Below are 26428 nucleotides of genomic sequence, written 5' to 3'. Positions count from 1 at the left end.
ACCCAGCCCAGACCCCTTCCTGTGAATTTCAGGCTCTTATATGAAACGACCCCCGTGGCCTTTTGGATGTCAAAAAGGCATCTCAAAATTAACATGTCTAAAATTGAATTATTAGTCTTTCTAACCACCCCAAACCCTGTTGGCCTCCCTGCAGTCCACCTCATCTAAGTGAATGGCTGCTGCACAATTCCTGTTGTTCAGGCCAAATCCTTAAAGTCATCCTCCCTCCTTTTTATAACCCACATTCGACCTTTGCACAAATCCTGTTGTTTTTACCATAAAAATATATCTAGACTCTATCTCTCACTGTCTCCATTGTGATCACCCTGCTTTCTCTACTGTATTGTTTCAAAAGCCTCCCAGTTGGTCTTTCTATCTTTCTTTTCTTTCTTTCTTTCTTTTTTTTTTTCTGAGACAGAGTTTTGCTCTTGTCGCCCAGGCTGGAATGCAATGGTGTGATCTTAGCCCACTGCAACCTCTGCCTCCCAGGTTCAAGTGAGTCTCTTGCCTCAGCCTCCTGAAGTAGCCAGGATTACAGTCATCCGCCACCATGCCCAGCTAATCTTTTTTCTGTATGTTTAGTTAAGACGGGGTTTCACCATGTTGGCCAGACTAGTCTTGAATTCCTGATCTCAGGTGATCCACCCGCCTCGGCCTCCCAAAGTGCTGGGATTACAGGCGTGAGCCACCATGCCCAGCCTGGTCTTTCTTTGTCTTTGCGGCTCAGCAGTCTATTCTCCATACAACAGCCAAAGTGGTTCTTTTTTTTTTTTTTTTTTAAATTATTATACTTTAAGTTTTAGGGTACACGTGCACAACGTGCAGGTTTGTTACATATGTATACATGTGCCATGTTGGTGTGCTGCACCCATTAACTCGTCATTTAGCATTAGGTATATCTCCTAATGCTATCCCTCCACCCTCCCCCCAACCCACAACAGTCCCCAGAGTGTGATGTTCCCCTTCCTGTGTCCATGTGTTCTCATTGTTCAATTCCCATCTATGAGTGAGAACATGCGGTGTTTGGTTTTTTGTCCTTGCGATAGTTTGCTGAGAATGATGGTTTCCAGCTTCATCCATGTCCCTAGAAAGGACATGAACTCATCATTTTTTATGGCTGCATAGTATTCCATGGTGTATATGTGCCACATTTTCTTAATCCAGTCTATCATTGATGGATGTTTGGGTTGGTTCCAAGTCTTTGCTATTGTGAATAGTGCCACAATAAACATACGTGTGCATGTGTCTTTATAGCAGCATGATTTATAATCCTTTGGGTATATATGCAGTAATGGGATGGCTGGGTCAAATGGTATTTCTAGTTCTAGATCCCTGAAGAATTGCCACACCGACTTCCAAAATGGTTGAACTAGTTTACAGTCCCACCAACAGTGTAAAAGTGTTCCTATTTCTCCACATCCTCTCCAGCACCTGTTGTTTCCTGACTTTTTAATGATCGCCATTCCAACTGGTGTGAGATGGTATCTCATTGAGGTTCTGATTTGCATTTCTCTGATGGCCAGTGATGATGAGCATTTTTTCACATGTTTTTTGGCTGCATAAATGTCTTCTTTTGAGAAGTGTCTGTTTATATCCTTTGCCCACTTTTTGATGGGGTTGTTTGTTTTTTTCTTGTAAACTTGTTTGAGTTCATTGTAGATTCTGGATATTAGCCCTTTGTCAGATGAGTAGATTGCAAAAATTTTCTCCCATTCTGTAGGTTGCCTGTTCACTCTGATGGTGGTTTCTTTTGCTGTGCAGAAGCTCTTTAGTTTAATTAGATCCCATTTGTCAATTTTGGCTTTTGTTGCCATTGCTTTTGGTGTTTTAGACATGAAGTCCTTGCCCATGCCTATGTCCTGAATGGTATTGCGTAGGTTTTCTTCTAGGATTTTTATGGTTTTAGGTCTGACATGTAAGTCTTTAATCCATCTTGAATTAATTTTTGTATAAGGTGTAAGGAAGGGATCCAGTTTCAGCTTTCCACATATGGCTAGCCAGTTTTCCCAGCACCATTTATTAAACAAGGAATCCTTTCCCCATTGCTTGTTTTTGTCAGGTTTGTCAAAGATCAGATCGTTGTAGATACGCGGCATTATTTCTGAGGGCTCTGTTCTGTTCCATTGATCTATATCTCTATTTTGGTATCAGTACCATGCTGTTTTGGTTACTGTAGGCTTGTAGTATAGTTTGAAGTCAGGTAGCATGATGCCTCCAGCTTTGTTCTTTTGGCTTAGGATTGACTTGGCGATGCGGGCTCTTTTTTGGTTCCATATGAACTTTAAAGTAGTTTTTTTCCAATTCTGTGAAGAAAGTCATTGGTAGCTTGATGGGGATGGCATTGAATCTATAAATTACCTTGGGCAGTATGGCCATTTTCACGATATTGATTCTTCCTACCCATGAGCATGGAATGTTCTTCCATTTGTTTGTATCCTCTTTTATTTCCTTGAGCAGTGGTTTGTAGTTCTCCTTGAAGAGGTCCTTCACATCCCTTGTAAGTTGGATTCCTAGGTATTTTATTCTCTTTGAAGCAATTGTGAATGGGAGTTCACTCATGATTTGGCTCTCTGTTTGTCTGCTATTGGTGTATAAGAATGCTTGTGATTTTTGCACATTGATTTTGTATCCTGAGACTTTGCTGAAGTTGCCTATCAGCTTAAGGAGATTTTGGCCTGAGACGATCGGGTTTTCTAGATATACAATCATGTCATCTGCAAACAGGGACAATTTGACTTCCTCTTTTCCTAATTGAATGCCCTTTATTTCCTTCTCCTGCCTGATTGCCCTGGCCAGAACTTCCAACACTATGTTGAGTAGGAGTGGTGAGAGAGGGCATCCCTGTCTTGTGCCAGTTTTCAAAGGGAATGCTTCCAGTTTTTGCCCATTCAGTATGATATTGGCTGTGGGTTTCTTTTAACACTTAACTCACATAACTCAGTCCTCTGCTCAAAACCTCCCCCTAGTGAGATGGGAAGTCCCTGACTCCTGCCCACCACCTCTCCATACTGTCCCTTCCTACTCATTTCCTACCTCTCTGCCCCTCCTTACCCTCCCCAGGTACCCTGGCTTCTTTGCTAGCCTGTGAACACACCAGAGCCCAGGACCTTTGCACTTGGTGTCTTCTCTGCCTTGAGCCATCTTCTCCACAATAATTGCATGAGGCCCTCACTTGAATGACATTGTAATAGTAAACTCTTGCCTTCACTACATCATTTAAAATCGCACCCTTCACGCCGTCACCAATATCCAGCACCCCGTATCTCCTTCCTGCTTCTTTCCCTATAGTCATCTCACCTTTTGACATAGTATTTATCATCTCACTCCCTATTCCCCTACCCATTAAAATACAAGCTCTGTGTAGGCAGGGATTTTTGTTTGTATTCTATTTTATTTTATTTTTTTTACTGTATCTCCACTGCCTAGTTCACAGCCTGACACTTAGTGGATATGTAAATCTTTATTGAATGAGTAATTGATTGCACAACTTAGTCACTGAACATTTCAAATTCTTCTTGTATAAATATCATATTGCTAAGTAGTAATAAATAAAACATAAAACAGAGAAACATATAGAATTTTTATATGTAGAAGGGGCTTGGTAGTAACAGTTTGGTTGGAAGAGGAGTAAGAAACCCCACATTAAGTCTTCATTTTTATAGCAAGAACTATGATTTTACTTTGGTTGTATCTGGGCTAAATTGAGGGTGGAAATGATGAAAATGGGAGAGAGAAATAAAGTCACCTTACCAAGTTCCTCCTTGGCTCTGTTATTTCTACAAAACAATTGAGTTTATCAAAAAGCCTTTTCATATACATTATTGTTATTTCTTGAGCCTCATAACAATCTTCATGGGTAGGCATTACTATTCACAGGTGACAGATGGGAATCTGGAGTTGGGAGAGGTTAAGGAGCTGTCCCAGGCTGCGTAGCTACTTGGTTCCACAGACAATAAGAAAGGCATTTGCAATAGAGGACATCTATGTTCTTAGATGTGAGAATGCATTACTAAAATACCAAGATAAATGTGAAAGTACCTGTCAGATTCTTTGTACAGAATGGTATTCAATAAAAAGCCAGGTGTCTTAAACCAACCTTCTTCTGATCTTTATGAGCACAACACATTGCATATACCATAAGCTTTCATTTAGGGAAACATTCCCTTAGCAGAGCTCCAGCCATGGTCTAATTGCACATTTAATGCTCTACCTTTGCTTCCAAAAAAGCTGGAAGAAGGCAGGGCATTAGGTGTGGCCTCCTCTGGGTTCCTACACCTACTGCCTTGTGGACAGATGGGAGGTCACGCAAACTCCTCCTTGCTCTTTCTCATTCCCTTACTATCCTTTGTGGACAGAGCTGCTCTATTTTATACCTCTGCTGCCTTAATCAAATGGTAGGGTTTCCTTTTTTTTCAGCTGGTAGACTTGCCTCTTGGCAGCCCAGTATGACCCTTGTAGAAATAAGTCATGATCATTATAAGGGCCAATATAGGCTGAGGGATGAGTAAGATCTGCAGTAAGTGGAATATGAATTTAACGAGCTCATATTCATCTCTCTCTCTCTGAAGGAATTGCTACTCTAGCATAGCAGCTCTCAAATATTTTGGTCTCAGGATATCTTTTCATTCTTAACAATTATTGAGGACCCCAAAAAACTTTTGTTATGTGAGTTATAACTATCAGTATATACACTAGAAATTAAAACTGAGAGCTTAAAATTTAAAAAAGTATTGATTTTTTTAAAAAGTAACAGCAAAAAACCTATTACATGTTAACAAGGAAAGCATATTTTTATGAAGGATAACTATGGTTTTAAAAAATACAGTGAGTGGTATTGTTGATGTTTTTGTAAATATCTTTAACATCTGGTTTTATAGAAGACAGATTCTCATATCTGCTTTTGCATTCAATCTGTTGCAATATATTGTTGTTTTAGTTGAATCACATGAAGAAAATCTAGATTTACACAGATATGTAATTGGAAAAGTATGAATATTTTCATGGCCTTTTCAGATAATTGTGTATATTCTTCTTTGATGCTACATCAAAACTCAATAAGCATTCATTTCTAAAAGGTTAGTTACAAATTTGGAATCTGAAACCATATTTATGAAATTTTTGTACTCTGTTACATTAAACCCACCTGTCTTGCATTTTGAATGAATCTTCTACCCACCTGTGATTTTGAACATCAAACATTGGTCATTTAGAAAATGCTGGCTTACTAAGTTATGCAGATGTTCCAAATGTTGACACATTTCATTTTGAAACATTTTTAAAAATCACATGTGTTAATATCCTCACCTGTTATAGGCAGAATAATGGTTACCCCAAGGATATCCATATGATAATCCACAGAGTATGTGACTATGTTAGGTTCCATGGCAAAGGGGAGTTAAGGTTGCAGATGGAATTAAGTTTGCTAATGAGCTGACCTTAAATTAAGGAGATTATCCTGCATTATCCAGGGTTGCACAATGTAATTACAAGGATCTTTAAAAGTGGAAGAAGGAGTTGAAAGAAAGGCTCAGAGGAGGAAGATGTGATGTCAGAAGCAGAGCTCTGAGAGATGCTATGTTGCTGGCTTTGAAGATGGAGGAAGGGACCATGAGCCAAGGAATGCAGGTGGCCTCCAGCAGCTAGAAAAGGCAAGGAAACAGAGTTTCTCTCAGCACTGATTCTTCTCGGCCAGGAGGCACACAGCCCTGCTGACAACTTGATTTTAGCCCAGTGGGACCTGTTTCATACTTCTAACTTATACAACTACGAGATAAATAATTTGTGTTGTTTTAAGCCATGAAGTATGGGGTAATTCATTCAGAGAAATAATTTTTCTGACCACCAATCTCATTAGAAAAGTTCCTAAATATTGGGAAGTGGTCAAGTTCATGATGGCAAATAAGAGTATTCAAAAATTTTGCTTGAAACTGTGCATTTCACAATTAGCAACAAATATTGCCAGGTGCTTTTTAAAGTGAGAGGCTTACTTTGTTTATATTTAAGAAAATACCTGCTTAATATCCAAGTCTGTTTGTCAGTTGTTCTTTCAAGTAAAAATGATATTTTTTGGAATAAGTGGCCAGTTCACTTGCAACTGAACCACAAAGAAGCTTTATTAAAGGCAACCATCACACTTTAGTAGGCAACAGAAGTGTTTTGTTTTATAATACGTATACTTCCAATTTCATCATACCAAATACTAAAAAGATATTTACTCAAGAGTCAATATTTAATAAGAGTAATAATTTTTTTTTCTTTTTTGAGATGGAGTCTCACTCTGTCACCCAGGCTGGAGTGCAGTGGCGCGATCTTGGCTCACAGTAAGCTCTGCCTCCCGGGTTCACACCATTCTCCTGCCTCAGCCTCCTGAGTAGCTGGGACTACAGGCGCCCACCACCACGCCCGGCTAAGTTTTTTTGTATTTTTAGTAGAGACAGGGTTTCACCATGTTAGCCAGGATGGTCTCAATCTCCTGACCTTGTGATCCACCTGCCTCAGCCTCCCAAAGTGCTGGGATTACAGGCATGAGCCACCGTGCCCGGCCAAGAGTAGTAATTTTCACTGCTTCATAAAGGATATTTTAAAGTAAAACTTTCATCTTTTTTTTCTACAAGTATGTGGTGGTAAAGGACACAGTGACTACTAGTACAGTTAGTGTCATTACCAAAGTTCATTTTAAGATAATAGCACTACCATTGCTTTTGTGCCATAAATGTATATGTCAGGACAGTGTAAAAGGAAAAAAATGTCCTAGCATTATTATAAAAATAGTTTTGACCTTGGGATACCCAAGTTTCCATGGACCACTTTTTGAAAACCACTGCTTTATTATGAATTGGAACATGCATGAGAATTAAAAATTATTATTTGTTAAATTAAATAATTGTTTAAAAAGTTATTACCCTTAAATAGTTTGGAGGGCATTAAAATGCTGCTTACCTCTTAGCTTTCACACCTCTTATTTTTAGATGGTTTTCAGTCTTAAAATCATATCCCAAAAATCTATGGTAGGGATTCCCTGGTTTCCAGAAAGGAAAACAACAAACAAACAAAAACCTTTTCTGACATGAAAAATATTTCGAGTAAATTTTAAAAATAAGTTTGTGGTTAAAAAACAAAGTTATAAGTCTTAAGTAGAACTGGCCCTGCCATCCTGAGTGAAGTTTAACTCTCCTTAAAACCAAATTTATGCATTTACTCAGCAAGTGTTTACTAGATGCACTAAGCACTATGCTTAGCATTGTAAGTGAGAAGGTGAATAAGATACTCTTCTTATCTTTAAGGAGTTTACATTCTAATGAGGAAGAGCAGAAAGCTGACAATTTCAGTAATAAGAGGATAATTCAATGTGGAAGATGAACACAGGGTGCTGTGGAAACCCATAGAAGGGCTCCCATTCAGACCGGGGAGCTCATGGAGTGAGAGGTTCCAGAAGGCTTCTCCACAGCTGACGAGTGCACTGCTGCTTGACTGGTGTTGGGGTAGGAGCTGTGTGTGTGAAACTGAGGAAAGGTGGGGAGTGGATTCTAGTTTAGAGAGTAGCATGTGTCAAGGCACAGCAGTGAGAGAGAGTTGGCATGTAACTGCTGGTAGAGAGCCAGGTGGGAGCATGAGCTTAGTGTGAGGATAGTGCAGGGTCGGTACGCCAGGTAAAAGGTGACCCTACAGACAAGCAGGAGCCACAGCAAGAGTGCATAGTCTTGTCCTCCATAGCAAGCAATTGGACTTTGTGCCAAAGGCTTTAGGGGAACACTGTAAAATTTCTAGAGGAGAAGTCACCTAATTCTGGGCCTTTGTGCCCCAGATCCTTTTGTAGTTCTTCCCCTGTACTGCTCTGTTTGGTTTCTGAAGGCTACATTTCTCAGGTTCTAGTATCTACTGGCATCTGGCTGGGTTTGGCCAAAGGGGGATATAACTGGGAAGTTGCATGGTGACGGGAAAGCAGAAATCAAGGGGTCCCCCACCACCACCGCACCCCGACTTTCCACGTCAGGCAGCAATACCAGCTGCAACTATATCTCTCCTGGGACCCCATCTCTGGATAGGGTCCCACTTCTGCTGGGTGATCCCAGACTCAGGCCTTCAGTAATAATCCCACTTCCCTTTGTTCCTCTACCCTTGGGCTGGTAGTGGCTCTGCTGCTGTTGCTATTCCCTGGGCTGCCTCTCCATCCTCTCTTTCGCTTCCAAGCTCTTCCATCACCTGTGTAATCTATTTTCAGTATTTAGTTCCATTTGCTTTTCAGAGTCATTTTTTTCCTGGATGGTTCCTGACTGATACAAAAATGATATAATCATTTAACATTTGGGAAATATCACTCAAACTGCAGGGGAAATGGATCGCGTGGAGGAAGACAGAAGCCAAGAGACCAACTGGAGGTGATGCGTTAACCTAAGCAAGGAGTAACAAGAGCTTGAATTAGGCAATGCCCAGGGTTCAAAATGAAAGAAGTGAATCTGAGAAATAGAAAGAAGGTAAAACCCACAGTAGTTTGTGATTGACTGTGAGAGAGGTGTTAGAGTTATATCCATGTTTCCAGCTTGGGCAGATGGGCAGATGATGAGGTCATTCCCTAAGGTGGGAGCTACTGGGGAAGGTAGGAAGATGATGGGTTCCATTTTGGACATGTAGAGTTTGAGGGGTCTGTGAGCTCAGGTACCAGACAGGTTGGGGGTAGAGCTCCACAAAGAGGTCTGGGCTGGAGAAGAATATGAGAGCATCATCAGAATATCATTGGTGGTTAAAACCATAAAAGTAGCAGGATCATGCCAGATAGTGGCTAGAATAAGGATAAAGAGAGGGGAGGGGAAAGAACAGATGGGAAGAGAGGCGTTAGGGGTCTACAAAATTCTTTCAGCAGGCCACTTTCAGATTTGCAAGAGTCCATAATTATTTCCCCAGTTGTTGATTCAGAGCTTTTACTTACCTCTGGTCAGAGAAGGTAGGTCAGAAAAATACTTTGGGAAAAATCTGGTTTGAATAAAAGAAAAAGGTTAGAAGGTAGTTACAAAGATACTAACTCAGACATGTCAACCAAGGATTTACCACTTGAAGCTGCTGCTTCATCAAGCTCCCCATATGAAATGAAAAATTCAGTAGATATTGTCAAAAGTCAGTTTTCCTAAATGATAATAAATATGAACCTATGAACCAGTTTTAAATTATTATTTAGCACAGTGCTTTAGATGTTCACAAAGGAAGACATTGATCTGTGTTGGCAGGATCAGAAAATGATTTGTGGGCCAGGTGCGGTGGCTCATGCCTGTAATCCCAACACTTTGGGAGGCTGAGGCGGGTGGATCACCTAAGGTCAGGAGTTCAAGACCAGCCTGGCTGACCTGGTGAAACCCCATCTCTACTAAAAATACCAAAATTAGCCAGGTGTTGTAGAGCACACCTGTAATCCCAGATACTCAGGAGGCTGAGGCAGAAGAATTATTTGGACCTGGTGGTGGAGGTTGCAGTGAGCTGAGATTGCGCCATTGTACTCCAACAGCCTGGGCGACAGAGCAAGACTCTGTCTCAAAAGAAAAAAAAAAGATTTTTGAAGGTGAGGAGTGAGGGTGGGCTGGGATTTAGCTGGCAGGAGGGGCAGGTGATCTCACTTTGGAGGAGAGGTCAGCATGAGGGTGAAGAAATGGGTTTGTACCTGTTCAAGGGATGAATGGAAAACAATGGGAAGACAGCAGAGCACTTATGGTAGACAGTGAGGACACATATGGTAGCACTAGAATACAAAATGCCAGGTTGAAAGTCATGATGATGATGAGGAGGAGTTGGACTTCTGTATATGACTCCTAGGGGTGGAAATTGAGAAGTGGGACAAAGTTACAGGCATCAGATTTTAGCTGTACTGGAGATCCCCAGAGATGAAATCCCCTGCCTTGGGAGGTAGTAAGTTCTCTGTCACTGCAAGTATTCAAGCACATGCTCAAAGAACAAAGGATGTTGGAGAGCCCAGTGGGACTGGATTCATTTTTCCCAAACTGCTCTTCAAGGCCCATTAATGAGTCATGAAATCAGTTTAGTGTTCTATATTAGTTTGTTAGGTCTTAGTTTGCTAGTCACAAACTGGGTGGCTTAAACAACAGACATGTATTGTCTCTCACAGTTTGGGAGGTTAGAAGTCTGAAATCAAGGTGTCTGCAAGGTTGCTTCCTTCTGAGGGCTGTGAGGGAAAGATCCATTCTAGACTTATCTCCTTGGCTTGCAGATGGCTGTCTTGTCCTATGTCTCTTCACAGCATTATCCTTCTTGCACACCACTGTGTTCAAGTTTCACCTATTTATAAGGATACCAGTCATACTGGATTAGGGCTCACCCTAATGACCTCATTTTAACTTGATTACTTCTGAAAAAAGACAATCACCAAATAAAGCTGCCTTCTAATGTATAGGGTGTTAGGACTTCAACCTGTAAGATTTGGGTGGGGACACAATTTAACACATAGCATGTGACTTAACCAGAATTTTAAAAGGATGAAATAGGATATAACAGAATAGAAAACACTAGAATATACCAGCTCTATACATATGTGTGTGTGTATGCTCGGTTGCAATGTGAAATGTCATCATTAAAATTCCTAAAGCTGAGAATGTGGAGTTGGGATAAAGCAAAAGTTCAAAGGAAGATTTAAAGTGGTTTTCCCTCCCACTTATACATGGGGAAGATGCATCTGGGTGACTCCACCTTGTTCCTTCTGCTCAAGATCCCTCAGCTCTGTGGCTGCAAGGCAGGCCCCAGGTTCTCTTGGTGGTTCATGTCTGCCGGTCCATTTTGGCTGTGTCTGGGCCTCCCTGATCCATGCTATTATGTTTGTCCTGCCTGCTGTTATGTACACTAGCCTTTATTAAATTTTGTTCCATGGGTTCAGGAACCTTGCTGTGCTTCTTTTTTCCTACAATGCTTTTACTCTTACTTAAAATTCCATTTGTAGAACTAATTTATTCTAAGCCTAACTTTATGACATTAAAGTGAGTAACATGATATGAACTATATCTTATCTTTGTTAAAGGAAAATACTAGTTAGAAAAATATAGCTGTGTGGAAGCATACTATATTTCAAGTAATTGTGGCATTAGTCAGGGCTAAAAATATAAATCACATCACCCTCTGCTTGGCGAGTCTAGTAAGTGCTCCAGGTAAAATTTCCAGTGAGAGTTCGATACTTATTGACAGAGGAGGTAGGACTGGTCTTGGCTGTGCATTGTTTATGCCTGAATGATGCTTCGCTTCATTCAGAATTTAATCAAATTTGTGACTTGGCATCTGTAGTCATCTGGGTGACTGTATTTTTTTTGCATTTGAATCAACTGACAGGAAAATATATCTTTGTATGTAACTGGCAGTTTTTCTTAACTATAGAAAGGGGCACCCATTGCACTACTTTGCCAGTCAGGCTTCTGAAGCAAAGGTCACGACAAAGTGATATAAATGGGTGGTTCACAGTAGGCTGCTACGGTCACACAGAATGGATTAATCTGTTCCTTTTTATTACAAAAAAATTCTATGCATCATAATCAGTGTACTGTGTAAACATAGTACTCAGAATCTCTCTTCTGCAAGTAAACTATTTAGTGTCAATTAAGTATGGAGATTAAAGCAATGCAAGTCCATTATAGAGTTTTAATTTTATGTTACATCTTCTTTCCTGTTAATTGAATCTTAGTTAAGAATCAGAGTTTGCACATGAAAGGATATTAGGAATCTCAATCCTAAGTCACTATATATATTTTTTTTTGAGACTGAGTTTTGCTCTTGTTGCCCAGGCTGGAGTGCAATGGTGTGATCTTGGCTCACTGCAACCTCTGCCTTCTGGGTTCAAGCGATTCTCCTGCCTCAGCCTTCCAAAGTAGCTGGGATCACAGGCACGTGCCACCAAGCCTGGTTAATTTTTTGTATTTTTAGTAGAAACAGGGTTTCACCATGTTAGCCAGGCTGGTCTCGAACTCATGACCTCAGGTGATCCACTCGCCTTGGACTCCCAAAGTGCTGGGATTACAGGTGTGAGCCACTTTGCCCGGCCCCTAAGTCATTATTATACTACTAAGCTCTTTAGGTAAAACCAATAGGTGTTTTTGCTGAGTGATAGGTTTAAATATAACTCCTTTGTCACCAATTCTGAATTTAGGAAACAGCTTTACTTTGTAATCTGTATGGACATAATAAAAGTAAAAATAGAAACTGTATTTTAACTGGTGGAAGAGATGGTTATAGCCATAAGCCACTTAAAAAATATCTACCGCAAGGGCAGACTAACATCAACACATCTTCTGCAAAGCCTGAGATAAGGGGAGGCTGATGTAGAGAGTCTTTCTTTAGCAAGCCCCTGTCTCCACCCTAAAAGGATAGGAACCAGGTAGCAGGCCAATAAGAAAAAGAATTCAAAGATCAACCTCTTTGCTTTCACAGCATTGGCCACATTATTCACCATCCATGAATCAAACGAGACTCCAGGTTCCAGCTCAGGAAAAGTGATGCCAGGGACACTGCTGGAGTTACAGCCATTCAATCCTGTGAAAGTTTTTACAGGCAATTGGGTAGCTCCGCACTGCTGCTAAGTACCTCTTTTATTCACCTCTTCTTAATCTATTCACATATTTATCTTAACAATTTCTTGAATTTTTCTCCCTTTTCATGTTACAAACTCTTTCCTGAATCTTTCCATTGAATGCATGTTTCCCATTTACCTGATGAATTGCCTCAGCCCCTCTGTTCTCCTACCCTAAACATCTGTTTTTCTCTATACCTTGCCTCCATTCCTTCAACTCCAAGGAAAGGCTTACCTTGCCACCTATTCTCACCCTCCTGGATATTCAATCATCCTGTCTTTCTCCAGCATCTTCACCGTTTTTGTCTTCATTTTCTTCCTTTTGGCTTTCTACAAAAATGCACAAGAATATCCGGTCTAGAGGAAAACACACACGCACAGTCAAAAGTGAAGAGGCCCAACTTAGATGAAATTCTGTCTCACCCGCAGCTTTCTCTCTGATCAGAAGTTTTCTTCTGAATGAACTCCCATCCATAGTTCTTGTTGACTAGGCCACCAGCACGGTGCTTATGAGTTAATCATTGCCTTGTATTGCTAGTTATCTTCTTACCTGTAATGATCAAGCTATCGGTAGGCTCCTTCAAGAAGGGACCTAATAGTTTTTGTTATAACTCTCAGTGCCTAGCTGATTTGAGATCAAGACTATAGTCTATATTGATGTTCTGGATTATGTGGACATAGCAAATAAAAAAAGTTGCATTAAAAATATTAGAATAATTAAACAGAAGTAGATTTGTGATGTAGTGGCTAAACAATAATGCCAGTGAACCTCATAAGGAGCTTTCTACTGAAGATTCCCAGGTCCCTTCTCATACCAGGGCAGTTCTTTGTTCCCCTTTTTCCATAACTGCAGGCCCAAAGGAGTTAAGTTTATTTTCCTCTCTTCTTAGCAGTGGCCATTATCCATCCAATTTCTCAGTATCAGAGCCTCTCAAAGCTTGGGATGGACATAAGCTACTTCCATTTTTTGAAAGCTCCTGGTATATTAATGGATAAATGAATTTCAGAATAAGATTATAAGAATTATTTAGCAATTTAGCACTTTTAACATATGCATTGTTATTATTCATGGGATAATTAAAGGATTTATTAAAAATATTAATGTAGATCTTACACAGGCTATGTGGTTGGATCGTGGGACATGGGATTAAAATCAAATGGTGATTGTCTTTTTCTTTCCACTGGTCAGCGTATGTGATTATATGTGATTATGTGCATATTCTTTCTTGGAGACAACTTCCAAAGTGTAAATTTGAGGCCCTTTGTGTGTGGAAGCTCCAGGCCAAGTAGCTTCCCTGTACTGTGTTCCTGCTTCCTTCAGTACACACAGACACAGAGAGATACAGACACACAGACACACGGACACACATGCCAGGTGATAGGCTCTGCTTGGAGATAAGCTCTCCCCAAGACCGGCTCAAGTGGTAGGAAGTCTCGCAGGTATCACCCCTTTTTGCTGTTCCTAAATATAAGGGTATAGAACTACTAGGCTTTGAGGGAAAACAAAAAATGAGCATGCTTATGTTAGTAACTTTGGGAAACAAATAGAAACAAAGGTTTTCTATTTCTAGTTCCTTATATATACCTGCTAACTCCCTGAGCTGAAGTAGCCTCTGAAGGCTCTGTGATTCTGTTCTCCCTTTTATTAATCTGAGGTAAATCTTATCAAAGCAACTTGGTTACTCTTACTCAACCTTTTGTGAAGACCCCCTTGCTCCACCATGGTCCTTTCTCTCGGCCCTAAGAAGTTCAGTGTAGTCATAGGGCACTCCAGTACCCTGCTAGCATCATTGAAGCCTGCTCTCAGGTAAGGAGCTGCTAAACTCATTACACCTTGACTCACATAATTGATAAGGCATATTACTCAGCCTTTCCAGGGACTTTCCATTTTAACCAAAGACAAAGCCTTACTTTTAAAGAGAAATAATCTGTAAAGCACCATAGTGCTACGTAGAACGGAAACTACTGCTGTTAACTATTTAGGCTTTTAAGCTTCTGACTTTTCTGCTGTAAGGAATTTTAAATTTTGATATAGACAGAACTGGTTAGTGATAACTAGAGTTTCGCTTCTTGCTCCATGCCGTTAATGTACAGAAATGATGAAACAGAGCAAATTCATCTATCAGCTATGTAGAACAGTCTATGAAATATATTTATTTATAACAGAATGACCATAGTATTTAAGCATTCTTTTATAGAATACCTACTCCTTCAGGGAAAAAAAAACACCGTAGTATCACTGCTCAGAATTTTATTATAGTTTAGTATTATTGGCTTGCATTTTTGTAATTTTATAAGAAAATTTCCATTAAATATCTGATTCATTTTTTTGGCTCATGATAATGTCTAACAGCTATAACACCAGCACACCAGTGTCTGCATTAGACAAATATAAGACCAAGTATGATTAACCTATAAACTATTTTTAATTACCTTTTACTGTTCTTTAAAATAGTATGTTTTTGAGGAAGCAGAAGCAGAGTTGGAGTACCTTGATATTACAGAGCTTTATAGAGCAAGTATATGGACTTGGATTATTCATCATAATTTGCAAAGATTCTGCTCTACAGAATTTTTGCAGCAACATCTCAAATTTGTTGCTCTGGTGAATGTCATAATGAGGACATTTACAGTGTGAATTCTGGAGAAGACTGAAACATTTCAAATCTTTATAGCATTTTAATGTTCTGTTGTCCTTTTTGATAATCAGATCTTGATTAAGAGGTAGAATTAACACCCAGTAGGACATCAACATTTCTTGACTTGAATCCTCTGCGTATCTTTTGTCTTTAGGACAGTTGAGGAATGATTTATGGACTTTGTGACTCTGAAACAAAAAAAGTATCTAAAATGCGTATTTGTTATTTTCTACAAGCCAATTACATCTTGTTTAGAGTATGACACACAAGGTAAACCTGGAAGGAAAAATAATTAAAGTGCTGTCATTTTTTCACATTGCCTTATTATGATGTTTTAATTCATTCTTACTTTTATAGAGCAGTCATTCCCATGTCCTTCTCCTTTGGGGTCTATTCCCTTAGTTACCGGCAATTTGCCACTTCCTCTCCCAGCAAGTTTCCTTAGGTGAAGACAATAGTGACTCCTACCATATAGAACATTGCACACTTTATGGGGTGCTTACACTCATATTCTTGGTATTTTTCACAATCCCTAGTTTTTAAAAATAGTTTTATTGAGCTATATTTCATATGCCATAAAATTCTCCCATTCAAAGTACTCAGTTCAGGGTTTTTTAGCATATTCAGAGTTGTGCAACCATCACCACAATCTGATTTTAGAACATTTCAATATCCCCCAAAGAATCCCCATTCTCATTAGCAGTTACTCCCCATTTCTGCTCCCACACCACTCTGGCCCTGTCCCATTCCCAAGCAACCACTAATCTATGTTCTATCTCTATGAATTTACTTATTTTGGACATTTCACATAAATGAAATAATATACAGATTTTTGTGACTGGCTTCCTCACTTAGAGTATTGTTTTCAAGGTTCATGCATGTTGTAGCATGGATGAGTAATTATTCCTTTCTATTGATGAACAATATTCCATTGTGTGGATAGACCACATTTTATTTATTCATCAGCTGATGAGCCTTTGTATCGCTTCTAATTTTTGCTATTATAAATAACGCTGCTATCAACATTAACGTAAAAGTTTTTATGTAGACATATATTTTCATCTATATAAGGATGAGGAAAATCAGACTATGAGTGCTAGAATCTAGGCTTTCTAACTCCTAATATGGCACTCTTTCTACTCACTATAGTCCAGAAATTTTAGAGATACAAGTTATTTTTAAAAATCTAGTGTCACTCATTGTTTCTGTTTCTGGACTTGATTTGCATCCAATATGTGGGAACATATTTTGATTTTTTTCTCCAGATATTTTAAACACTTTTATATTTGCTCATATATCTCTTAATAACTCAGATTGCAGATAGACCACATTGCCATCCTTTTAGCAGGTCTCTAAAACCTGGTGACTTTAATATAATTTTTTAAAATAATAAATAATTCTGAAGGAATTCTGTGGAGAGTTCTTAGGGAATGAGCCACCCCTTGTTATGGGCCTTAGAAAGCTGAGCAGATGAATGCTGTGTGAATGACTTGGCTGTAATCAATCAACATAATGTAAACGATGTGAAATTAAAATTGAGTGCCTGAATGAGCGGTGATTACACTCATTCTGCACTACTCCAAGTACAGAAACAGTGTGCAGCTCTCAGGTAGCAACTTCCAAGAAAACAAGTCCTCTGGAAGTCCACCCACAGCAGCTGGTTGCCACTATTTTCATCTGTGCCCTTCTTCAGAGTCTGCGGGGCTTCCTCAGTGGTTTCCTTATTCTAGCCCCATAGTCTGCCTCATATTTACCTTTAAATTGCCTCTTTTTATGCACCATAAGAATGACCTAAATAAACTTCCTCTTTCACTCATCAGTATTTTTAAGGGAAAAATTAGGTCCGTCACGGTTGAATAACCTGCTGGCCCAAGTTCACACAATTCTGGGACTCCTTAATCCTAATACATGGTAATCTTAACCCAAGAGAGGCAAAAAAACCTGAGAACTGTGGCTGATTGCAAGACATGACATTTGCTTTCTAAGCAATCTGAACAATTTTATTTGTCTTTGGCTTAGACTCCTGAGGTGGGACTCTCAAGCGTGGCTTAGGGAACTCCAAAACTCTGTTCTTACCTTTGTGGCGGTTACTGTCCTATTCTGCCGATTTTGATACATTATTTCCATGTGTCTGATATCTAACTCTCCCATGGGGCTGGGCGGGATGCTTCTGGCTCCTCCCTTAGCCTGATCCTGTGGCGTCTGCTTCCATTATGCCTGCATTCTGCTTTTTTTTTTTTTCCTCCATCTGATTGAGGTGTGGGTGGTCAAGTACTACAAAATTGGATCCAGGAAATAGTGGGCTAACTCTTATGGAAAGAACTCAAATAGTTGGCACAACTAGAGGGAAATTTGAGGAAAGTGAATATTTTCAGGCAGAACTCATAGTTTCCGCCTCTATGAAGCAAGGCCCTTTCCTCACCTCTCCATCTATGTCAAGAGCATAGATTAGGCACTTAGCAAATACTAAAATGTATTTTTGTCTCATCCCTTCTCTTGCCAATATCACATTAATTTATTTCTTGATTAAATGCTTTCTTTCTACCTACAATGCTCTTCACTAGAGCCACAGTTGTCTTTCTATCTTTATGCAGATCCTCCTTCTCTTTTAAGACCCACTATAAGTGAGTCACCTTTTCCAGCAAAGTTTTATCTTCCAAGACCTACCCTTTAACAACACTGTACAATTCTGAATTCGTAACATTTTGTTTATGCTTTTCAATCACAAACTCTTCTAAATGATGCCTAATGATATCCTGACATTTCATATATTGCACCTAGTTTCTCCAATGGCAATAGAACTGCTCATGGCCAAGAGCTGTGCTTTCTATATCTGTGAAATTTCCACAATTGTACTGGGCACATGAAACGAAGTTACTAAGTGCCAAACACTTTCATTTAAACCTAATTTATAATCTGGAGTTGAAGTTTAATTGTAACTACATCTGCTTTATATGCAGCACACATACTTTCATTATCAGTCACCCATGCAAGATCAGGATCAAAAAGAAAATGCATGTGGGGTGGTGTCGACTGGTAGATGTTAGGCATTGACGGTGTGCCAGGTACTGAGCTGAGAACTGGGGATGCGAAGACGAATTAAGGTATGGTTCTGCTCCCAAAAAGGTTATAGTCTGGCAAGGGAGACAAATATGTAAGCAAATAAGTTCAATGTTGAAGAAACAGGACATTCTGGATCTAGAACAACACAAACAAAAGTGCAAAGAAGGGGCTGAGTATAGTGTGTGTGTGTGCACGTGTGTGTGTGCGTGTAAAATTGATAGCAGCTTAGAGGAAGGAAAGAATGGGCCATATGAAGGCAATTGAAAGTTTAACAAAAAATTGAAATAGACTGTCAGTGCTGTCTAATAGAATTTTCAGCAATAACAGGAATGTTCTATATCTGTGCTGTCCAATGTGGTAGCCACTAGTGACATGTAACTATGGAGCATTTGAAATGCATCTAGTGTGACTGAGAAACTGTATTTTCATTGTCATTTTTTAAAATTAATTTAAATTTATATAGTCACATGTGACTAATGGCAATTATAATGCACAGTCCTAGACTAGATAGCCAAACTAGATGTAATGGAGTTTTCTGGGTCATGTGCTGAATGACATCATTCATTCTACCTGGGCTACCTATGCTCCAGACTGATGGGTCTGGGAGAAAAGGATATGCTACGGTGAATGACTGAGTTTTCTCACATCATCTTTAAAACCCTAGTTTTTTCATTCTTAAAATGACAGTAATAATGTCCTCCTCACAGGTTTTGGGGAGGATTAAATAAGATACTATATTTGAAATTGCTTTGTAAATTTAATATATGTAAAAACACTTCCTAAACGCTATAGTTCTTAAGCAGTTATTCTCAATGGGGGGCATTTGACAAATCTGTGGGTGCTTTCCGCTGGTCAGATTGGTTAGGAATGACACTGGCAATTAATTGGCATAATAGGGTCCAAAGAGGCTAAATGCCCTGCAGTGCATGGGACATTCCCACCAAAGTAAAATTTCCAAATCTCACAATGGGCATTTATAGAAGTGACAAGCCTACTTACTGTTGTTGAGCCCAGAATTTGCCCTGTTTAATATATAAACACAAAGTATTTTATATAGTTTCAATAAATTCTGAATTATCCAGGAATGTACATTAAGGGAAGAACACACTTTGTTTCATTTAAGAGTTATTCATTATTTCTGAAAATCAACAATCGAGTCAGTGCCACTCATAAAATTTAAATCTCCCTAATCAGCCTGTATTTGTAGTTATTGCATTTACCAGACTCTATATATAGGTATATCTGATTATTTCATTATGTCTTCAGTGTAGACAGTCTATGTATTTACATATAGAATTACTGTACATGTTATATTATAAATTATTTTCTTTTTACTTCTTTATGTCATAGTTAACACTCTATATTGATTTTTTAAAATTATATGTGTAGATAAATTCTATAACCTATGAATATCGTTTCAGGGTAGTAAAGGGGCCATTGCTAAATATTGTTTTGAAAAGGTAGCACTAATTCTGAGAGGGTTAGAACCACTATTCTAAAAACAATGTAGTCCTTGTTATCACTATATTATAACCTCTTAACTTTATCAGATGAATGTCCATTTCTGTGAAAAATACAAATTGCCACTTATCGTAGTTCACTAGTGCAATCCTTCCTGAGGTGGGACAACATTTCTGTCTTGGAGAGCAGAAGTAACTGGCCCTCATAGCCACCTAGACAGTCTAGAAGGGGCACAAATCTCCCTTTACTATTCTGGTACAAATGTGGGCAGATTTTCTTCTTACTTTCCAGGAACAATTTCTAGATCCCACTAGAACATTTAAACGAAGTCTTACTAATAGCACAGGGAAAATCAAAGTGAGAAAATGAATGTCATGAAACTAGATAAACTAACGTATGCAATGTTCTCATCCTCAACTAGGGGTTCTTTGCAGGAATTCCTTCCTCCTACAACAAGTTTTGTCTCCACGCAATCGTGCTTACCTTTAACCTCTCCATTCAAAGTACCAAAGGGAGCTTGAAGCCCAAAATAAGGAGACTGGAAGTGGGATAAACATTTCCTCATTTTAAATTGTGTAAGGCCTTCTTTTCAAATGCCTCCTTCCTTCTCAAGGACCTGATCTTCCATTGATGATTAACATCAGGAAGTTTGACTGGTTTGTTCTGAAGGCTACCTGGTCTTTGCACAGCTTTTTAGAGCTTCATTCTAGACCACCTCTGAAAGAAATCTATGAACCTGCTAGGTTCAGGGAACAAGGATATAAAGCTGAAGTGTGTGTATTGTATGTTAAAACTAAAAAGTAAAGTTAAAAAGTGATTACTATTTTTCCATTTATTTATTTATTTAAAAAAATTTTTTAAAAATTGTTTTTGAGACAGGGTCTTGCTCTGCTGCCCAGGTTGGAGTGCAGTCATGTGATCATAGCTCATCACAGCCTCAAACTCCTGGGCTTAAGTGATCCTTCCACCTTAGCCTCCTGAGTAGCTGGGATTACAGGTGTGCACCACACTAGCCCAACTAATTTTTTAAATTATTTGTAAAAATAGAGACTTAACATGTTGCCCAGGCTGGTCTTGAACTCCTGGCCTCAGTGATCCTCCTGCTGTTGCCTCCCAAAGAGCTGGGCTCAGAAGTGTGAGTCACCATGCCCAGCCAAAAAATAATTTAAATGCTTAAAACTGCTTTAAATAATAAAGTCTATTTATTTAAAAAATAATATTAAAATTATTTTGAAACTTAAATATTCGACTTGTGTGTAGACCAGGGCATAGTATTATTTTCAGGAATTAAATTCTTTTTTGAATAACGTTAAAAAGAATTCAATAAATTCTAAAATCTTTTTAATGTTTTTATTGTCTAAGAAAATGTGAATTGTAGTTTCTTTTCTGGAATGGAATGTGCAAGGATTCACTTTATATTTATTTATCAATTTGTAATATTCCGACGGCTTTCATATGCATTAATTTTTTTTCAGTTATCAGAGGGGTGGTAGAATCTAGTGATTAAATAATAGATTCTGCAGTCAGACTACCAGAAGGTTAAATCCCAGTTTCCCCACTTAGTAGCTGTGTGATCTTGGGCAAGTTACTTAACTTCTCTGTGCTTTAATTTTATTCCTTATAATGGGGACAATTATAGTTCCTAACTCATAGAGTTGTTGGATTAATACTGTAAAATACTTGGAACACTAAACACTCAGTGTTGGGTATTTTTATTCTATTTGTATCATAAAATTCTGAGAACTAATAGCAAAGTATTTGAGGATGTGAAGGGGGCAAATGGTAAGTGGAAGAATCAGGGCAGCAATCTTGGCATTGAAGTAGTCTCCAAACCAGATTACTGTTTATTAGAGTGAGGTATTCCCAAGCCCTTCAGGGAAGGGCCCTTTTCACCTCACAGGAGGTTAGATTCAGGACATTCCAAAGACAGATCTGTTCTTGCTTCAATTAAGTGAATAAAGCAGGTTATAAAAATGGGCTTAAAGGTGCAATATTATATGCTCCATATGATCTCAATCATTAAAACAAAGTACAAAATAAAGACCAGAAAACAGATAACAAGCAAATATGCCAAAATATCAGAGTGTTTGCCACTGATGGTGGAATTGTAGGTTACTCTGTGCTTTTTTATAATTTTCTCTATTTTCCAAATGTTCTGTATTGAGCAAATATGCTGTTTTGATAATCAGAGAGGAAAAGCAGAAAACCAGAATAATGTCAATAACAGTTGAGATTTGTTCTGTCATACTGGAGTCAAATAATGGAGTCAAAGAGAAGTAGGAGAGAAAGATTTAAAATATAAATCTTCATTTTAGAAGGGGTTTTCTGCTTTAAGCAAGAGCTGCCATGTCCATAGTTTATGAATTTAGCATTCCAGTTAAAAATTAAGCAGATATTAATCAAATGTAATTGCAGTTGCACAAAGGCAGACTGCCTCAGTGAGGAAATGAGGTATAGCAGTCAACAGAACCAAGCAGCCTTGTCTTTCCTAGACAGAGTGAAACGCTAAGAAGTTTTTTCCACAAGAGGGCGATAACTGTTCAGCGTTTCATCAAACGGGCCTATGGCCGCACTGTAAGCCAAGCCGCGATGCAAATAAAATAACTTTTTTTCTCACTGAAGAATAAGGAGCTGCACAAGGAGGCGGCAGCTGGAAGGACCACCACGAACACACTGAGGCACACTCAAGTCAGAAGCAACAATTTGTAGCGGAATATAAAGAGGAACAAGTTTACAGAGTCGTTTAAAAAATTATGTTCAAAAAACGTTATTTATACATACATAAGTTTTTCATGGCTGTTCACATCAGATACTTTTTAATCTGGTGCATCAAACTGGATTAGCACTTCATTCTGTAAGAAAATTCTGGAAATCTACAGACCTTCCTATAAGCACTTTGATTCCACGCTTCCATATTTTAGAATGTACTTCAATCCAAGTGGGTTTCCTAAAAGGAAATGGTTCCCTGAAAAGAAAATGCTTGCGCACGCGGGGCCGGGGGAAATTTTAATTTTCGAATGAAAAGAGATTTTCATTTGTATATGTATATGTATAAAATCTTTGGCGGTGTGTGCTTTGCTAAAGTTCAAGGCCAGTTTTCTCTCTAGTAGTTCATTGGTGTTTTCTCGCATTTACACTAATTCCAGGACTCGGGTTTTGGTATTGCAGATGTTTCTGGACTTTAGTATTTTCCATTTTCTTGGACCTTTCAGAAGCCACCCTTCGGAGCGCACTTAACTCCCAGGTACGTATTCTGCGACTCTATGGAGAGCTGTAATCCTCTCTCTCACTGACGATATCGCTGAGGGAGGTCCTGGACTTCGAGATCTTTTCTGTGGTAGAATGGATGGGGCTGTTTACACTGGTCGCTTCCCCACTTGTTTGGTGTTGGCCTCCACTGGGAGAGCGCCGAACGCAAGATCCTACGGCGCTTTTCCACGCTGTCTGCTTCAATTCTTCCCAAATCTCTACCTTAAGTGCTGGGCAGCAGAAGTTGTGGCAAAGGTGCAGTTTCCACTCTACGGCGTTTATAGGAAGCAAAGAAAGACAGACACGTTCTCCCCCTCGCCCTGCTATCCTTCCTCAAGGGTAGGTTGGTTCAAGCTTGGGGACATTCTTCCTTCTTCCTTGTATTTCTACCTAGCAATCAGCTCAATCCTTTTATGACATTCAGTTAAACCCAGCTGTCCCGCGGGTTCAGCACAAACAGGCCCTATTCGTCAGGTGAAATGGAGTTATTAAAGAAGTCATCCAGACACTTCAAGCAACTGCATTTTAGAGAGATTTTTGGACTGAAACACACACATAATTCCCTTCATTCCTCTCCCCATCCGACCCCACCCCACCCACTTTTTTTCTGCAGAATAGAAATTGACTTTCTGCTGCTACACTTGAGTATCCCGACATTTGACATTACTGTATTTGGGGCAAAACCGTTATCATCCCTCCCTTCAGAATGTTAGTACGTTTAGCTGAGAGTTCATTTGCATTCCTTCCGTTAGTTACCTTGAATTTGGTGGCTATTCTTTTAACTTAAAACAAGTATCAAAACGCGCTTGGCATTTCTGCGTCAAGGGTTAGACTGCAGGTAGAGAGGTCAAGTGGACGGCACAGACTAGGCAACAATGCCAGCAAGCTAAAAACAGTAACCAGAAAACAAATGCTGTTGTTTCCAGCCTCAAAGTCGAGGAGCACAGAACCTTCCTCACCGCCACCCTTTAAACCCTTTTTGCAACCTCAGAATTTGCCAAACCGCTTTCATTTATTTTTCAATTAAAATGCAAATCATTTGCTTTCAAACAGAGCCCCCCCATCCCCATTAGATATACTGCGTAGAGATGCGCCGGGATCCTTGCGACCACGTGTTACACGTCCACTCCCAAGGGGTACTTGAAAAAGTCCCACTTTATTAGGTCGTGGGCAGGAAGGCATGCTGGTTTCGGAGGATCCCCAAGAAAGAGCAAGTCCTGACTCTCAAAGGCATCTGAAGGCAATGCGTTAAGACTGCCCCACCAGAAACAAGCCTCCCGCGTCAGCGGGACCAGGACTCGGGTCCCGAAACTGGTTTCAACCACGCAGTTAGAGCGGAGGGCAGGGCGATCTTCCCCCGGGAGTGACAGGGGGCAGCCCACCCTCTCCGAGGACGCTCCATCGTTGTCACCGCTCCCAGCTGTAGACAGGCAGCAGATCCACTACAACTAGCACCTGGCAGGAGGCACCGGCCTGCCTTCCCGTGCTGCCCAGCGTGCGTCTGCAATACACGCTGCTCTACGCGGGATCGAGCACCCGGGGCTCACCCCCTCACTACCAGGGATCAAGGTACACGGATCCGGAATTTTTTATTGTCATAATTAAGAACAATGCTGCCATTTTAATTTGGCAATGCAAATGATACGTAAAAGTGAACGATGGAGACATCCTTACACCAAGCGTTGCAACTATTTACTCAAGACAGTTCACCCTGAGTTGGATTGAGTTGAATCTCAGTCTCAATCTCTCCCCCACCCCCGTGTCTCTCTTTGGCAACCCCGCCTCCAATAGTAGATACTAACATTCTCAATAGGGAAATATTCAACTCTCTTCCGAGTCATAATATTTACATGAGATAAAAAGGGGATCACTCTTTAACATTGGAATCTTTGGGGATGACTGGCCTCTTTTCCTCCCAATTCCTACCTAGTCCTTGAGAATGCAGTGTCCTGGAGGATGTGAGGAGGTCGCTGGAGGGCCAGGCGCAGAGTGGAGACTGAAGGTTGGGTACCACCGCCAGGGTGGAGTGTCCGAAGGCGAGAAACGTTTCGTTTGTAACGAAGCCAGAGACATAGGCCCCCCAGTTTCAAGGCTAGGACGGGCTATGCCTGCCACCATCCTCCCGCAGCTTCCTGGCCGAGGTGGCAGGGCGCTGGGGTTTAGACCCAAGCACTGGATCCCCGCGTGGAAATGCAGAAGGTCCGCACATCAGCTCTCTTCTGAAGCAAGTCTTGGCTTGACTCCTTAGCACTATTCATGCTGACGAAGGACTTCACCTTACCCCAGGTCAGATTCTAAAGTCCATGAAATAATAGATTTAAACCAGTCTTGAAGTTAATGAAGAAAGATAAAGGAAGAGGAGGACCAAATAACATTGCTTCTATCTTAGAAGGAAATAAAACTGGCAAATATAACCCTTCCTTCCCCCAGTTTCAGACTCAAACTCAAGCTGACCCTTAAAAACTAGTGCTTAGTAAACGAAGGTTATCGAAGCGGAGTACGCCCTCCTGGCTTTTCGTGCTTGGACCCAAATGAGCGCTTTGACACCAATAGCTAAACTCCATCCGTCGGTGGTGCTGATCAAATTTTATTCTTGAGCCATTTATTGCGTTTATTTCTGTTTTCTGCTCATTAAAATTGTAATTAATGATCTCATCCAAATTTGCTGTAGCGACCACCTTCCAATGGTGTGTTACTTTAACATGCTGAATTCTCAAAATTGTCAAAGGGTTTTCCTTCTCCAGCCCGCAGTTCAACCCTGTCGGGAACGTAAAGATCAGCCAGAGATGGAAGAGATTTAGAGAGTAAAGGAAGCCACCCTTCAACTCCTAAACTCTAGATAGACATCCCACCACCACTGTCCAGGAGCTGGTACATCTCCATCTCCCGTAGCAACTCTAGAATTGGGAGTAGGCGCCAGAGTTTTGGAGAGGGTTTTCAAAAGCTTACAGTTCCCAGGGTGTACCTAGATGCTTCTGTATCTAAAGTTTCCGCCTGAATTTTGATGATTCTACCCCCATGTAAACCCAAAGGAAATAACAACAATAATCAAAGGGAGAAAAGTTAAGGGAAAAAACTCCCTCACTGTTCTCAGGTATAAACATCATCTGACAGATAAATATTCCTATTAAACGGATTCAGTTTTCAGCGAATTGAGTAACCCATAAATGATAATGAACGCGGTGGGAAGCGACGGGCGGGGGGGAACTCGGGAATGAAAAAAAAAATAAAGTGGAGGAGAAAGAACAGAAAAGGAAAGCAGGAGGTGGAAAGATGGAAGAGGACGATCCTTTGGCCTACAAGGGGATTAAGGACATCTATAAGGCTTAAGGAGCAACAAATTAATTTACACAATTCTGGGAGAGCCCAGATGGCCTTTAATTAATCCCTTCAAAAGAAGGAGCCAGGCCAGGGCTGCGCCGGCTGCCTGCTCCATTAGCTCCATTTTACAAGGGACCAGACTTGG

The 26428-nt window shown here is 40.0% G+C and overlaps 2 annotated features.

Moving 5' to 3' along the window:
• Window positions 22149–22198: a silencer, noted in NCBI's record as "silent region_15545". NCBI's record gives its function as "represses an Ori minimal core promoter by ATAC-STARR-seq in GM12878 lymphoblastoid cells {active_cell/tissue: GM12878}" and the evidence as "EXISTENCE:reporter gene assay evidence [ECO:0000049][PMID:35858748]".
• Window positions 22279–22328: a silencer, noted in NCBI's record as "silent region_15544". NCBI's record gives its function as "represses an Ori minimal core promoter by ATAC-STARR-seq in GM12878 lymphoblastoid cells {active_cell/tissue: GM12878}" and the evidence as "EXISTENCE:reporter gene assay evidence [ECO:0000049][PMID:35858748]".

The sequence above is a fragment of the Homo sapiens genome, chromosome 4, assembly GCF_000001405.40.
Source record: "Homo sapiens chromosome 4, GRCh38.p14 Primary Assembly".
Taxonomy (NCBI): domain Eukaryota; kingdom Metazoa; phylum Chordata; class Mammalia; order Primates; family Hominidae; genus Homo; species Homo sapiens.
Note: the sequence above shows the minus strand (reverse complement) of the source record. Positions and strands in the feature narration are given on the sequence as shown.